Source organism: Homo sapiens, chromosome 14 (genome assembly GCF_000001405.40).
Source record: "Homo sapiens chromosome 14, GRCh38.p14 Primary Assembly".
Taxonomy (NCBI): Eukaryota; Metazoa; Chordata; class Mammalia; order Primates; family Hominidae; genus Homo; species Homo sapiens.
This window is the reverse complement of record NC_000014.9, coordinates 55441332-55457425: the sequence shown is the minus strand read 5'-3', so window position 1 is coordinate 55457425 and position 16094 is coordinate 55441332. Positions and strand designations below refer to the sequence as shown.

Genomic DNA, 16094 nt, shown 5'->3' with positions numbered 1-16094 from the left:
GCAAGAATTCTCAGAGCTATTGGGCAAGTATTGAGACGGAGCAGGGACCCCTCTTAAGGGCTTGCAGCACCCTCCTCCACCCCCAACCCCAAGCAGGGAAATAAAATCTTGAGTTCCTTCAAGGGAATTTACAGTCACCTAGCTAGCCTTGACAAGTAAATGAGCAATTTGATAAGCAAGACGGTAACAGTAGCTTAAAACAATAGCCAAGGAAGTTAGAGTCACACGAATATTTGGTTCCCAAGAGAAACTAAAGATAACACCTTAGCATATATTCTTGAGTTGTTTTTCAGAATTTGGACCTCCACTAAATGGGTACACTGGTACAGAGACCTCTGATAAGGGGGAACTGAGGACTGAACTCCGACCGCTGTTCTAAACTTCTTTCTGAGGCTCCGGAGGTGCCGGGATTGCAGACGGAGTCTGGTTCACTCAGTGCTCAATGGTGCCCAGGCTGGAGTGCAGTGGCATGATCTCGGCTCGCTACAACCTCCACCTCCCAGCCGCCTGCCTTGGCCTCCCAAAGTGCTGAGATTGCAGCCTCTGCATGGCCGCCACCCCGTCTGGGAAGTGAGGAGCGTCTCTGCCTGGCCGCCCATCGTCTGGGACGTGAGGAGCCCCTCTGCCTGGCTGCCCAGTCTGGAAAGTGAGGAGCATCTCTGCCCGGCCGCCATCCCATCTAGGAAGTGAGGAGCGCCTCTTCCCGGCCGCCATCCCATCTAGGAAGTGAGGAGTGTCTCTGCCCGGCCGCCCATCGTCTGAGATGTGGGGAGCGCCTCTGCCCCGCCGCCCGTCTGGGATGTGAGGAGCGCCTCTACGCGGCCGCGACCCCATCCAGGAGGTGAGGAGCGTCTCTGCCCGGCCGCCCCGTCTGAGAAGTGAGGAGACCCTCCGCCCGGCAGCCGCCCCGTCTGAGAAGTGAGGAGCCCCTCCGCCCGGCAGCCGCCCCGTCTGAGAAGTGAGGAGCCCCTCCGCCCGGCAGCCGCCCCATCTGGGAAGTGAGGAGCGTCTCCGCCCAGCAGCCACCCCGTCCTGGAGGGAGGTGGGGGTCAGCCCCCGCCAGGCCAGCCGCCCCGTCCGGGAGGGAGGTGGGGGGGTCAGCCCCCCGCCCGGCCAGCCGCCCCGTCCGGGAGGTGAGGGGCGCCTCTGCCCGGTCGCCCCTACTGGGAAGTGAGGAGCCCCTCTGCCCGGCCACCACCCCGTCTGGGAGGTTTACCCAACAGCTCATTGAGAACAGGCCATGATGACAATGGCGGTTTTGTGGAATAGAAAGGGGGGAAAGGTGGGGAAAAGATTGAGAAATCGGATGGTTGCCGTGTCTGTGTAGAAAGAGGTAGACATGGGAGACTTTTCATTTTGTTCTGTACTAAGAAAAATTCTTATCCTGTTGATCTGTGACCTTACCCCCAACCCTGTGCTCTCTGAAACATGTGCTGAGTCCACTCAGGGTTAAATGGATTAAGGGCGGTGCAAGATGTGCTTTGTTAAACAGATGCTTGAAGGCAGCATGCTCGTTAAGAGTCATTACCACTCCCTAATCTCAAGTACCCAGGGACGCAAACACTGCGGAAGGCCGCAGGGTCCTCTGCCTAGGAAAACCAGAGACCTTTGTTCACTTGTTTATCTGCTGACCTTCCCTCCACTATTGTCCTATGACCCTGCCAAATCCCCCTCTGCGAGAAACACCCAAGAATGATCAATAAAAATAAATAAATTAATTAATTAAAAAAAAAAAGAAGTTAAAAAAAAAAAAAGATAAATTTCTTTCTGAGGGGCCTGGAGGAGATCACACCCAAGAGCCAAAACTAACATTATTTTCTGCCGATCCCAAATGTTTAGACAAAGCTCCACCTCCTTAACCAATCACAAATCAGCAAATCTTTGACTCCACCTACGACCTGTGGGTGCCTGCTTCAAGATGTCTCACCTTTTATACAGGTCAAACCAATGTATATCCTGCAAGTTTTTTGTTTTTGTTTTTGAGATGGAGTCTCACTCTCACCCAAGCTGGAGTACAGTGTTGCAATCTTGGCTCACTGCAACCTCCGCCTCCCAGGTTCAAGCAATTCTCCTGCCTCAGCTTCCCAAATAGCTGGGATTACAGATGCATGCCACCATGCCCGGCTGATTTTGTATTTTTAGTGGAGACGGGGTTTCAACACATTGGCCAGGCTGGTCTCGAACTCCTGGCCTCAAGTGATCCGCCCTTCTCGGCCTCCCAAAGTACTGGGATTACAGGCATGAGCCACTGTGCCCGGCCAGCCTTCCTGTATTGGTTTATGATTTTGCCTGTAAGCTCTGCCTTCCTGCCTTTAAAAATCCTTACCTGTAAGCTCTTGGGGAGTTTGGGTCTTCAGCCTGAGCTGCCTGATTCTCCTTGCTTGGTGCCAGGCAATAAATGCCTCACTTTCTCTCGCTGCAATCCCGATGTCAGTGTTTGGATTTTTGTGCCAGGCAAGTAGACCTAGTTGTTTGATAACAGTATTCGGGGTACCTACTGCATAATGTCAAGTGGGTGTCTCTGGTTCAGGCAGTGAGTAGTGTAAGTAACGAGCGATTGAAGGCAAAATGGCTCGCTGCCTGTTTCCGTACAAAAGCAGCCCTGGCAACAATCCAGACTGATCTGTCCTTGGCCTATTCATTATTCTCTGCGCAGTGATAATGAGTTTACTGCTTTGTGGGCTTTTAGGTAAGGGGAAGAGATGAGCTTGGCTTAATGCCTGCTGACTCATAAGACGCAGGGGCCCTGGCCTGCCTCTGATGGGATGCATGCACTTAAATCAGGAACAATTTCTATTTCCTCTCCAGCAAAAACGCTGCGAGGGGAGGCTAGTCAAGCATGCAGAGCTGGAGACCTAGGAACTCTATCTCTGCTTCTGGGGACTGGGGGTAGAAAGAAGGAAAGAGCAGGCACAGTCCTTCCTCAAACCTCCCCTTTAGCTGCTCTACAAACATGCTGCCGCTAAAAAGCATTAGAGCTGCTGCTGATTCCTATCAGGAAGGAATTATACTAAGCACGCCTAGCATTTATGAAAGGCTGCCTATCTTTTGTTAGGCATTATCTGGATGCAAAAGCGAATCAACAACCTTCCACTCCTTAAGGAGTGTGCAATCCAGAAGGGAGTGTAAACAATGAAATGTAGGACAAGGTTAAATGAAACACAGGCCAAATTGTTATGGGCATTCAGAAGAAACACTGTGTCTTAGCTTTGTCTTGGGAGATCAAGGAGGGCTCCACACAGAAGGTGGCATCTGAAGGCTAGGAAGGATTTCCGAAGACAGAGAATCGAAAAATAACATTCTCAGCTGAGGGAACTATAGGAACAATGATACTCAGAGCTTTTTCAGAGCCTGGAAGTGTCATTTGGGAACTGAAGATGGGAAGGTTTATGTTTGTTTGCCCAGGCTCAGGAATTTGTGTTTTATTCTAAACTCAGTGTGGAAAACAATGCAGATTTGCGGAAGCATGGAGTGAGGTAAACTTTACATTTTAGCAAGGTGATCTGGGTTCTAGAAATGTACCTGAAATTTACTAAGCCCCTGAGCATGGCTAGGCACTATACTAAAACTTTTAGACATTGTCTCTTTAGGCAATTGCTTTTAATGTCCTTATTTTGCAGATGGGAAGACTGAGGCTGAGTGAGATTAAACATCATGGCCAAAGTTAACTTCCGTTAGCAGGTCCTAACATCACAGGTTTTGCAGCCAGTACCACTTACAGTTACTGTATCGAAGTCTTTTTTTTTCCCCAAGACCAATGTAAAGATCAAGGCTATATAAGAGGACGCTTTTTTTTCTTTTCTTGAGACAGAGTCCCCCTCCGTCATCCAGGCTGGAATGCAGTGGTGCAATCTCGGCTCACTGCAGCCTCCACCTCCTGGGTTCAAGTGATTCTCCAGCCTCGGCCTCCTGAGTAGCTGGGATTATGGGTGCCCACCACCACACCCAGTTAATTTTGCATTTTTAGTAGAGATAGAGTTTCACCATCTTGGCCAGGCTAGTCTCGAATTCCTGACCTCAGGTGATCCTCCCACCTCAGCTTCCCAAAGTGCTGGGATTACAGGCATGAGCCGCCGCACCTGGCCCCATTTTATTCGCTCCTTCCAATACAAGCAAACCTAGGGATACAACCAGAAAACTGCCACGTGAGGCTAAAATATGCTCTTGCTCCTTCAGAAAACAGCACAAGTTCATCAGCCCAGAAAGTTCTCAAACATTCTCAGGACAAGGGACACTGAGTCCAAAGCCTATACTTTTAGCCACAGCACTATTCTGCCTCCCAGTATACAGTCCTAGTATGGTACTTTTCAGCAGAAATCCCATATGTCTTCCAATATTCTTTAAGACAGTACTCTTGAGGCTAAAATATTCTAAACAAAGAGCTGAGTTTCCAACAAAAAGTGCTTTAGAAAACTGAGTTGCACAGAGAATGGGGTGCATAGAAATCTGGGGCATGCACAGCCAAATAACTTGGGTCTGTAAACATTTATCAGATTATTTTAAAGTGATTTTGCAACATTTCCTCATCAAATGCCTTACAGTTCTGGAAAAGGGCAGATATAAGAATTCCTTTATCACTTGGTCAGGTTTACAGATGGAGACACCAAAGCAATGAGAGTTTTAAGAGGCGCTCAGAAAGTCAGTAATCTCAGCACTTTAGGAGGCTGAGGTGGGAGATCATTGAGCCCAGAGTTTGAAACCAACCTGGGCAGCAAAATGAGACTCTATCTCTACAAAAAATTAAAAAATTAAAAATTAAAAAGTCAATAGCAGGGCTAAAGAGAAATCTAGATTCCTGATCTTGAAGCACATGGTTAAATCGAAAAATCATATCTCCATGGGCATCAAGGAGATAGAAATGGGGATGGAAAAAAGGCACTGTCCTTTCTCTTAAAAGTAATATGCACTTTTATAAAATACTCTTTTTGTAAGAAGTAAAATATAAATGTTCATTGTAGAAAATTTGGACAATACCAAAAGTTCAAAGAAGAAATGAAACCCACCAATAAGCTCGGTACCCAGAAATATCCCCTGTGAATGTTGGTATATTTCCATCCAGGAGTTTATGTGCTGTTATCATTTAGAGACAGACAGCCCTTCCATTCTACTCCATTTTCTGAGAGCAGGAATCTGAAAGGTAGATCTCAATCAATAATTGATGCCCCCACTGCATGCCCAGCACTATGCCAGGCACCATGGGGTCAGAAGGAAGACTGCACTCCTCACTCTAAGAGGCTACAGTCAGTTAAAGAGATAATACACAGACCCAGAATCAGGGAGCTGGCAAGAGCATCATATGAGCAAACTGGCTGCAGGAATTCAGAAAAGGAAAGCTGGCTGGGAGAGGCTTAATGGAGGAAATGATCTGGAGCGGAGGTATGAACAACGTTTAGACTCAGGATTGCAGAAAGAAGGAGAAATGCACTCTGGGGTTGAGCAGGTGGAAGATGGGACAAAAACAGCATGGACCAAGGACAGTTGGCTTGGTTCCTAAGGATATTGGCCTGGGTTTAGAGATTAGAGGGTGTGAACAGAGGCCCTAACATCACAGGTTTTACAGGCAGTGCTACCCACAGTTACTGTACCAAAGTCATTTCTTTTCCAAGACCAATGCAGAGATCAAGGCTATATACGAGGATCCATTTTATTCACTCTTTCCAATTCAACCAAACCTAGGCATGCAACCAGAAAACTTCCACGTGAGGCTAAAACATGCTCTTGTTCCTTCAGAAAACAGCACAAGTTCATCAGCCTGGAAAGTTCTCAAACATTCTCAAAGCTGATGTCCAGGAAGTGCTAGGTCAGGGCATGTGCTATAGGAGGGACCACAGGGGAAATGATCGTACAAAATCATGGCACAAAGTCAAAACCCAGCATGCACCAGCCAAATCCTGCACATATGCCAAAAACTGAATTCTGCCACCTTAGTAACACTGAAAAAAAATATATCCTGGGTAAGAGGTGGTGTGATATCTGAGAAAATCCCAAGGTTGTATCTTGGCAGCTCTATTCCCGGTGTGACCTTGTGCAGTGACTTAATTGCTTTGCCCTTCAATTTCCTCATCTGTAAAATGAGGATAATAGCACCTGCCTCATACTTCTGATGTAAAGATTAAATGAAGTAATGTATACAAAGCACCTTACACCACATCTGGCCATTGAGTAAGCCCTGGGTAAACACTGGTTCCTCTTCTTTTCTTCCCACTAGTCTAATATTAGAAAGCCAGATCAAAAGGGTCAGTGTGATTTGGGGAAACTAAAAAACAGAATATGATGCTAATAAGGCTTGAAGCCTCAGACCACATTCAAGGTCTCCAGGGCATTGGTAATGTCCAACTTCTTTACATGGCTCTAAGGTTCACATCTGTCTGAGATGTCACAGCTTGATCAAGGCCTCCTCTATACCATATTCAGCATAAAGTGTTTTGAGACAGGATCTATAATAGGATGCTGGAGTGAGGCCAGCATAGTTGCCCTGAAACCCTGCCTCCTGCCCCCAGCTCAGGTACCAAAGGAAGGCGACATGGGGTATTGAAACAATTTCCAAAGGTTTAGCTCACATAAGCGGAATAGAGACAGAGAAGGGAAAGTCCTCAACCTAGAACACAGATTAATTACCAGGGAGCCAGAAAAAGCTAATAATCCTAGTTGACAGGCAGCCAAATGACTTGGGGTAGCTCATTTAGAGTGTGGGTGTTATGCAGCCCAGAAGACAAACACGTGTAAACAACAGCAGGTAAAACATGAACCAACCTACTTAGCAAGTTAGATCAAGAATCTATTGATTGCCAAGTCTCTTTGAGTCCTGCAACACACTTCCTCTCTGTCCCTTCTGTTAAAGCAAACTAAATATGGCCCAAGAAGGACCCCATACTTCTATATTTCAGTCCCTGTGGACGAACTGTAACCTAGCTTAATAGGCAGACAAGATTGAGAACCTAATTTAGTAGTATGTGCCTGTAACAATAGCTGAGTCTTGGCCAATCCCAGCAGCCATGCTTCAACCACTCATAGACTGCTGAGTGTTCAAACTGTGTTCAAAGAAGGCAAATGCCAACCTGTAACCAATCCAACTGTTTCTGTACCTCACTTCAGATTTCTGCATGTCACTTCCCTTTTTTGTGTCTATAAATTTGTTCTGACCACCAGACATCCCTGGAGTCTCTCTGAATCTGCTGATTCTGGGGGCTGCCCAATTCACGAATCGTTCATTGCTCAATTAAACTCCTTGAAATTCAATTCAGCTGAAGTTTTTCTTTTAACACTTCATTCCACTGTCCCTGCCCTAGTTCAGGCCCATATTACCTCCTGTTAGCTCAGGGACACCTTCATTTTCTGAATACACAACTCAACAAGTTCTTCACTGATCATCAAATAAAATCTACATTTCCTAACCTGACATTCAAAACCCTCCATAATATGATCCACATCTTAAACAACACATTCCATTTCAGGATCCTTATGCTTCAGACAAACCAAAGCCAACAAACCTAAGCCTTTGTATTTTTCCACCTCAGTGTCTTTGCTTGAGCTGTTGTTTCACAGCCATTCTCACGTATTCTTTGTGTTAGTTACCTAGGGCTGCTGTAACAAATTACCACATCCCGGGTGGCTTAAAACAACAGAAATGTATTCTTACAAGTCCAAGATCCAGATGTCAGCAGGGCTAGTTCCATCTGGCAGCTCTGAGGGGCAATCCGCTCCATACCTCTCTCTTAGCTGCTGCTGGCTGCTGGCAGCCCTTGTCATTCCTTGGCTTGGGGCTGCCAATCTCTGCCTGTCTTCACATGTGTGGCCTTCTTCTCTCTGTGTCTCAGTGTCTCAAATCTCCCTCTGCCTTTGTCATATAAGGACACCTGTCATTGGATTTAGGGCCCATCCTAAATCCTGGGTGGTCTTATCTTGAGAGCCTTAATTACATCTACAAAGTCCCTTTTCTAAGGTCACAACCACAGGTTCCGAGTGGATATGTCTTTCGGGAGGCCACAATTTAACCCGTATACCCTTTAAGACCTTGGTCTCTTGCTGCCTCCTTTATGAAATATGCCTTGATGTCTAGCCCCAGGAAGGAATTTCTCCCTCCTATGAACTGCCAAGAAACTCAACTGAATTTGACTTTGTGATATTGTGTTTGTATGAACAGCTTATCTTTGAGTGAGTTGCCTAACTTCTGTAGGCCTCAATTCCTCATCTTTGAAACAGAGATGATTATTACATTTATTTTTAGCATTATTTTGGGTTTTGGTTTTTTTTGTTTTTGTTTTTTGAGATGGGGTCTCTCTCTCTGTTGCCCAGGCTGGGAGTGCAGTGGTGTGATCTCAGCTCACTGCAACCTCCACCTCCTGAGTACAGGCAATTCTCCTGCCTCAGCCTCCCAAGTAGCTGGGATTACAGGCATGTACTACCATGCCAGGCTAATTTTTGTATTTTTAGTAGACACAGGGTTTCACTATGTTGGCCAAGCTGGTCTTGAACTCCTGACCTCAGGTGATCGGCCCACCTCGGCCTCTCAATGTTCTGGGATTACAGGCGTGAGCCACTGTGCCCAGCCTATAGCATTATTTTGATAAAAAGAAGTTTTAACGGACTTAGAACACTAGCCAGACATAGCAAATCATCCATATGTGCTATTATTATCCTTATCTTTATTATCATATATTGTCCCTACTATATTGTAAGTTCCTTAAAGATAGTCATCTTTGCAGCCTTCATGGATTCTAAAAAGTATCTCGCACAGAATCATGGACGAGCGAACATATCAGGGAGAAGGAGGGAATGACAGCTAAGTCATCTTGAGATAGTCAATACAGGGACATGTTTGGAAATGTCGTGAAGAGTGACTCCTCTATGCAACATTCAACCAGCAGGAAAGTACTCAGGTCTTCCCCGAAGTGAAAAGTCTTGGTCAAAACTCCCTGCCAACAGTTTTCCCTTTGATTTACAAGCAGGACAACTTGGAGAGTTGCCAGTCTGGTGTTTCCAAGTACAGCATATCCAAAGAATTCCTTTCATAAACAGCATCATTTGCTGATTTGTCATCATGGTAATTATATTTTATTATTCCCACTGTACACTGTACCTCTTAGCACTGATGTGGTTCTGAAATAGAAGTGAAAAAAAGGGGATAGGGGAGGGGCTGACTCCCAGGCTTAAGGGAAGAGTGACTCAGTGGCCCTAGGGAGCCTCTTCTCAGGAACTGGGTAGGTGTGCTGACTCACTTCTGCCTCCGGCCTCCTCCCAAAGGTTGCTGCTTCTCCAGGACCTCACAGGAGCTGTGGAAGCCTTTAGTGGTGGCTCTGGTAATTCTCTACACACACCATAATCTTCCCCTACATAATCCCATGAGCTATTTTATAAAGCTGCCTTCTAGAAGGCCAGTGCTCTAGATACGTGGTTCAGACCGAAGTCTTCTAGAAGATTTTTAATTTTTATGGGTACCTAGTAGATGTATATAGAAGATTTTCATTGTTAGTACAAGTACAAACACATACAAAAATCCATTCCTAGTCAGGTGCACACAAAGTGGAGTTCAGGCCAGGCATGGCACTTTGGGAGGCCGAGGCAGGCGGATCACCTGAGTTCAGGCGTTCGAGACCAGCCTGACCAAAGTGGTGAAACCCCGTCTCTACTAAAAATACAAACAAATTAGCTGGGTGTGGTGGTGTGCACCTATAATCCCAGCTACTCAGGAGGCTGAGGCAGGAGAATTGCTTGAACCCAGCAGGCAAAGGTTGCAGTGAGCCAAGATCGTGCCACTCCACTCCAGCCTGGGCGACAGAGTGAGGCCCTGTCTCAAAAAAAAAAAAAAAAAAGTGGAGTTCAGAGCAGACAGAAGCTGAAATCTTCATCCATATTTTCCCAAGCAAATACGGTAAAACCTAATCTCCCTGTTTTGCTGTGCGTGGCAGGAGACAGGTAGCTACTGTCTGGGATCAGACATCCCTGATGTGCTCAGCGTGGAAAATGGTAAAGCAACTCTCTCCTGCCCAGAATCAGTGCTGATTGATTGGTTCTGTTTCCATGAAACAACTGCCAAAACGATGCTTATAAATAACACTTCCCAGTTATAATATGCTTTCTAAAAGAATGCATTATTTATTGTAGAAACGCTGTGATGGAATATGTTCACACAGAAAGAAAATAATAGGGATCAGTCAAGGGAGAAAAAGAAACTTGTGAAATTTTAATTCTTGTCTTTAATATTACGTGAAATTAAGCCATTTTCCTGAGAAACTTTAAACACAGCAAGTCTTCTTTATGGCCAGTGTATAGCACTGCCTGAGAAGGAAAGCTGCACCATTATGATTCAAGATTTTCAGTGGACTGGGGTTGGTGAGCAAAGACTATGGAGATCAAGGTTATCTGTGTTGTGCTTCAGCAGCTCCTGACTAAGCCATTACACAGGCTCCTTCCCAGATGCTGAAGTTCATGCTCCACCTCCACCAAAAAGGGGGAGGAAGAATTACTGTGGGTTTTTATTTCAAACGATTACTGAAAGGACAAGAATTCATTGAATTTTGATCTAGAAAAGGCCTCTGTGCAGTGCTCAAATCCACCTCCCTATTCTTGTGTATAAAATCACTGTCTGGAAACTGACAGCTCCATGTAGAGATCAATCACACCCAATGTCCATGGCTTCTAAAAGAAAGAGAAGGCTGCATTTAGCAAATATTGCCACCATTAAAAAAAAGTTCTCTCCCAACATGGCTTCTAGAAACCTAATCTCATTTATGCAAATTCTTTTCCGTTTTTTCCTGGGCAGCGAAATTGCCCCTCACATTTAACAACCATCAAGATAGTGTGAATGTGGATTACTCTACAAGCACTTTCCGTTTAGCTCCTATAAATAGGACCTCCTTGTATAAAATAGCACATATATTCACATTGACTGATACAGTAACTAATCTTATTTATTTTTGGAAGTACCCTCTGGTCTTCTGCCATGGAGAAGTAGCTACCCTTTTTTTCTTTAACATTTAGGGAATGCATGCTCCCCCCCCTTTTTTTTTTCCTCTCTCCCCTCAAAGCTGTTTGTTTTCTCCCCAAACCAGAAGGTATTCCCCTCATGGAGATGAAAGTGCGCCCCCTAGTGAACAATGTTTCTCAACATCCCTCCAACACTGAATTTCCATCTTCATTATTCTTGCCAGAGAATCCCAGGCCCCAGTGGTGACGTGACTGCATTTGAGAGGTTGAGGTTCAGTGCCCAGGGCTTAGGAGCTTTTCAAGGGACAGTAAAATTGTTTGAGAGCTAAGAAAGTCTGTTGACTCCAAACATTTTTTTCTATTCCAAAACTGAAATTAGTGAATTTGATTAAATGTCTATAAAATATCAACTAATCATAAGCAATTCAACTCTTAAATTGTTACATATAAATTATATTTAATGTAGAATGTAGGTTCATTTTTAAATTGTCTATGAAGAGGCCAGGCATTGTGGCTCACGCCTATAATCCCAGCACTTTGGGAGGCCAAGGTTGGGGGGGGATTGCTTGAGCCCAGAAGTTCAAGACTAGCCAGGGCAACATAGCAAGACCCTCAGCTCTACAAAAATTTTTGTTTTAATTTCCAGCTAATTTTTTAAAATTTTGTGTAGAGATGGGAGTTTTCACCTGTAGACAGGTGTGTGGTACACACCTGCAGTCATAACTAATACTTAGGAGGCTGAGGTGGGAGGATTACTTGAGCCTGGGAGGTTGAGGCTGCAGTGAGCCATGACCACACCACTGCACTCCAGCCTGGAGTGTCTCAAATATATATTATATGTATATATGTGTGTGTATATATATATATATATATATATATATATATATATATATTTTTTTTTTTTTTTCTGTGAGGAGGGACAGGTCCTCTTAAAATACGAGTAAAAGCCATATTTTCCATAGAATTGACCTCTGTTCAAGACTCTTCATGACCATGAATATGCACTCCTGTCTTAACATTATTCTTTTAAAGATTCTAATAACAATACTTCATACTTGCAAAGTGCTTAGTAAAAGTTTACGTATGGCCACAGCACAGTGACTCACGTCTATAATCCCAGCACTTTGGGAGGCCAAGGCAGGTGGATTGCTTGAGCCCAGAAATTCAAGACCAGCCTGAGCAACAAGGCAAAACCCCATCTCTACAAAAAAATACAAAAAATTAGCTGGGTGTGGTGGCGCAAGCCTAGAGGCCCAACTACTTGGGAGGCTGAGCGGGGAGGATCACCTGAGCCTGGGATGTCAAAGCTGCAGTGAACTGTGATTGTGCCACTGCACTCCAGCATGAGCAACAGAGTGAGACCTTATATCAAAAAAAAAAAAAAAGTTAACATATGCTTCTATTTAAGGCATTTAATCTTTACAACAGTAAATTGAGAAAGAAAAGAATGAATTGGATATAGTAGTTTTTCGGTTTTCTTCTTTTTTTGCCAAAGTATAAAATATTATAAATTCTGAAGCCAAAAAAAAAAAAAAGTCAGAATCAAAACAGATAACCACCACAGTTCAAAAGAAAACAAACTAATTTGAAATGGTCTATGTAAGCCTTTGGTAAGGGACAATACATAGCAAATGACTCCATAGTCAGACACTCTGGGACGAGTTACTCAACCTCTCTGTGCCTCAGTATCCTCAACTGTAACGTGGGGACAAAAAGAGTATTTATCTCACCAGGTCTTCGAGACATTTAAATGAGTTCATATATGTGAAACACTTAGAATAGCGTGTGGTACATAGTAAGAGCTGAATAAATGCTAGCAATTAACTGTTAGTCAATCAAACCATAGCAATCTTTGATTCCCAGAAAAGAATAGCTTAAGATTTTGGGCTGGGCGCAGTGGCTCACACCTGTAATCTCAACACTTTGGGAGGCCGAGGCAGACAGATCACCTGAGGTCAGGAGTTTGAGACCAGCCTGGCCAACATGGTGAAACCCCATCTATACTTAAAAAAAAAAGTGCAAAAGTTAGCTGGGCGAGGTAGCACGAGCCTGTAATCCCAGCTACTCCAGAGGCTAAGACGGGAAAATTGCTTGGACCCGGGAGGCAGAGACTGCAGTGAGCTGAGATCGCACCACTGCACTCCCCGCCTGAGTGACAGTGCAAGACCCTATCTCAAAAAATAATTTAAAAAAAAACAAGATCTTGTATAAATCTCAAACAACTAAAACACTCACAAAACAATCACTAATATTATATTTTGAAACATTTTACCTGGAAACAATCTCAAACTTACAAAAAGTTACAGGAATAAAAATAAGGAACGTTGGTACACCTTTTACCCAAATGAGCTTATTACCATTTTATTCCTCTATTATTTGCATGGCACATCACTGCAAATTTGTGTCTCTACTTATTATAATTTTGATGTATTTGTTTTCTCTTGTAAAGTAACAAATTACCACAAATTTAGCAATTAAACGCCAACTTACAAGCTCGCAGTTCTAAGACATCTGAGTATAGCATAGCCAGCTTCTTTGTTCAGGATCTTTACAAAGCTAAAACCAACGTATTGGCCATGCTAAACTCCTTTCTGGAAGCTCTGGGAAGAATCCACTTTCAAGCCAATTCATGATTGATGGCAGTCATAGGACTGAGGTCCCCATTTCCTTGCTGGCTGTCAAATGTGGGCCACTCTAAGCTCCTTGAGGTACCCACATTCCTTCCAATATGATTTTTATTTTTTTAATTATTACTTTAAATATTATTATTATTTTTTGAGACAAAGTCTCACTCTGTTGCCCAGGCTAGAGTACAGTGGCGCAATCATGTTTCACTGCAACCTTAACCTCCTGGGCTCAAGTGATCCTCCTGCCTCAGCCTCCCAGGTAGCTAGGACTACAGGTGCATGCCACCACATCTGGCTAATTTTTTAAAAATTTTTTGTAGAGATGAGGTCTCACTATGTTGCCCATGCTGGTCTCAAACTCCTGGACTCAAGCAATCCTACTGCCTTGGCCTCCCAAAGTGCTGGGATTACAGGAGTGAGCCACCATGCTCTGCCCACATTCTTTCCAATATTTGGCCCCATTTATCTTCAAAGCCAGCAATGAAAAATCTCCCTCATGGCAAATCCTTCTCAGATTTTGACTCTCTCTCCCAAAGAAGAGCCAGTTCCTTCTAAAGGCTCACCTGATTAGGTTAGGCTTACCGAAGAAAAGCCTGGATACTCTTTCTCAAAGTCAAATGATTTGGGACCTTAATTACATCTGTAAAGTGCGGCATAGCAGCACTTAGATTGGTATTTGAATAACTGGGAGAAGGTGTGTATATACTAGGGATAGGAATTTAGGGGGCATCTCACCGTTCTGCCTACCACATATGATGAGAGACTTTATAAGTCTATGTGTAAGACTGGTAGGGCTGCCACAACAAAATACTACAGTCTGTGGTGGCTTAAACAACAGAAATTTATTTTCTTACAGTTCTGGAGGCTGGAAGTCCAAGATCAAGGTGTCAGCAGGGCTGGTTTCTCTTGAGGCCGCTCTCTTTCATTCGCAGATGGCTGCCTTCTCACTGCATCCTCACCTGGCCTTCTCTGTGTGAACATCCCTGGTGTCTCTGTGTGTCCAGATTTCATCTTCTTGTGAGGACAACAGTCAGATCAAATCAGGGCTTCAACATATAAATTTTGGGGGGAAACAATTCAGTCTATAACAGTCTAATAACAAAATTAAGAGCTAATATTTGAGCTACTAGGCAGGTACTGTGCTAAAAAAATGTGTAGGTTATCTCAACACAAACCTTTAAATTAAATACCATCGTAAGCAATTATATGAAATTCCAATCTCATCAAAATGTTTCCTTTATTCTTAATTAGAAATTCTGTAAGACTTGTTGTGATTTGATTCTTAGAATGAGCTGTCTCTACTATAATGTGCTTCCTATGCTACGTTCTAAGGTCAGTTTCCTTCATCCATCCAGTTTTACTGAGCAGATAAGCTTGGTACAGAGACATTAAAATTAGTTATCAAAATTCTTGCTCTCAGAGAGCAAAATCTAGTAAAAAAGATGTATTTTATGTCTGCCTCTGTACATTTTTTTTTTTTTTTTGAGACAGAGTCTCATTCTGTTGCCCAGGGTGGAGTGCAGTGACATGATCTGGGCTCATTGCAACCTCGGCCTCCCAGGTTCAAGAAATTCTCCTGCCTCGGCCTCCTGAGTAGCTGGGATTACAGGCGCACACTACCATGCCCAGCTAATTTTTGTATTTTAGGTATAGATGGGGTTTCACCATGTTGGCCAGGCTGGTCTTGAACTCCTGACCTCAGGTGATCCACCTGCCTCAGCCTCCCAAAGTTCTGGGATTACAGACATGACCCACCACACCCGGGAATCTGTACATTTTTACGTATCTTACATAAAAAGTGTCAATTATAGGCCAGACACGGTGGCTCGTGCCTGTCATTCCAGCACTTTGGGAGGCCAAGGCAGGTGGATCACCTGAGGCCAGGAGATTGAGACCAGCCTGGCCAACAAGGTGAAAACTCGTCTCTACTAAAAATACAAAAATTAGCTGGGCATGGTGGCAGGCACCTGTAATCCCAGCTACTCGGGAGACTGAGGCACAAGAATTGCTGGAACCTGGGAGGCGGAGGTTGCAGTGAGCCAAGATCTGCACTCCAGCCTGGGTGACAGAGCAGACTCTGTCTCAAAAAAAGAAAAGAAAAGAAAAAAGGTATCAATTATGTTTATAAAGTTGTTCTACACAGTTAAGCTCTTATGCAGGCACTGAAAATTAAAATAATGATTTCAGGAAAGAGAAACCCTCTCTGAATGTTTTGCGTTATTTTCGTGAGATTTCCTCAACCCTAACTGTGCAGCAACACACTGTTTTGTATGTGGCTTTAGACGGAACGCTCAGTGACTGGAGAAAAACCACGTGGGATTTGATGGTGAGAAGTAATGATAATGTAAAAATACTACACCTGACTAGGTAAGGTGACTCATTCCACTCACTCTGCTCAAGAGAAAAAAAACATCCCTGGCGGAATGCAGTGGCTCATGCCTGTAATCCCAGCATTTTGGGAGTCTGAGGCAGGAGGATGGCTTGAGACCAAGAGTCCAGGACCAGCCTAGGTAACATACCGAGACCTTGTCACTACTAAAA

General features: G+C 44.2%; 1 protein-coding gene across 1 annotated transcript in view, besides 4 other annotated features; it reads right to left on the bottom strand.

Annotated features, from left to right (window-relative positions):
- Positions 8542–9741: an enhancer, noted in NCBI's record as "P300/CBP strongly-dependent group 1 enhancer chr14:55914403-55915602 (GRCh37/hg19 assembly coordinates)". NCBI's record gives its function as "activates an origin of replication core promoter dependent on BRD2, BRD4, P300/CBP, MED14 and CDK7 cofactors, with strong dependence on P300/CBP, by STARR-seq in HCT116 cells {active_cell/tissue: HCT116}" and the evidence as "EXISTENCE:reporter gene assay evidence [ECO:0000049][PMID:35650434]".
- Positions 8542–10006: a biological region, named in NCBI's record as "P300/CBP strongly-dependent group 1 enhancer GRCh37_chr14:55914403-55915602".
- Positions 9506–10006: an enhancer, noted in NCBI's record as "H3K4me1 hESC enhancer chr14:55914138-55914638 (GRCh37/hg19 assembly coordinates)". NCBI's record gives its function as "activates a minimal SCP1, AML or CMV promoter by ChIP-STARR-seq in naive H9 embryonic stem cells {active_cell/tissue: H9 hESC(naive)}" and the evidence as "EXISTENCE:reporter gene assay evidence [ECO:0000049][PMID:30033119]".
- Positions 11081–11170: an enhancer, noted in NCBI's record as "active region_8433". NCBI's record gives its function as "activates an Ori minimal core promoter by ATAC-STARR-seq in GM12878 lymphoblastoid cells {active_cell/tissue: GM12878}" and the evidence as "EXISTENCE:reporter gene assay evidence [ECO:0000049][PMID:35858748]".
- The window catches only part of FBXO34 (F-box protein 34), a 171629-nt gene continuing 169911 nt past the window's right edge, over positions 14377–16094 (bottom strand). Inside the window, exon 5 of the transcript XR_007064023.1 lies at positions 14377–14599. The gene's annotated coding sequence lies outside the window, so the exon portion shown is untranslated. The remainder of the gene's footprint in view (positions 14600–16094) is intronic.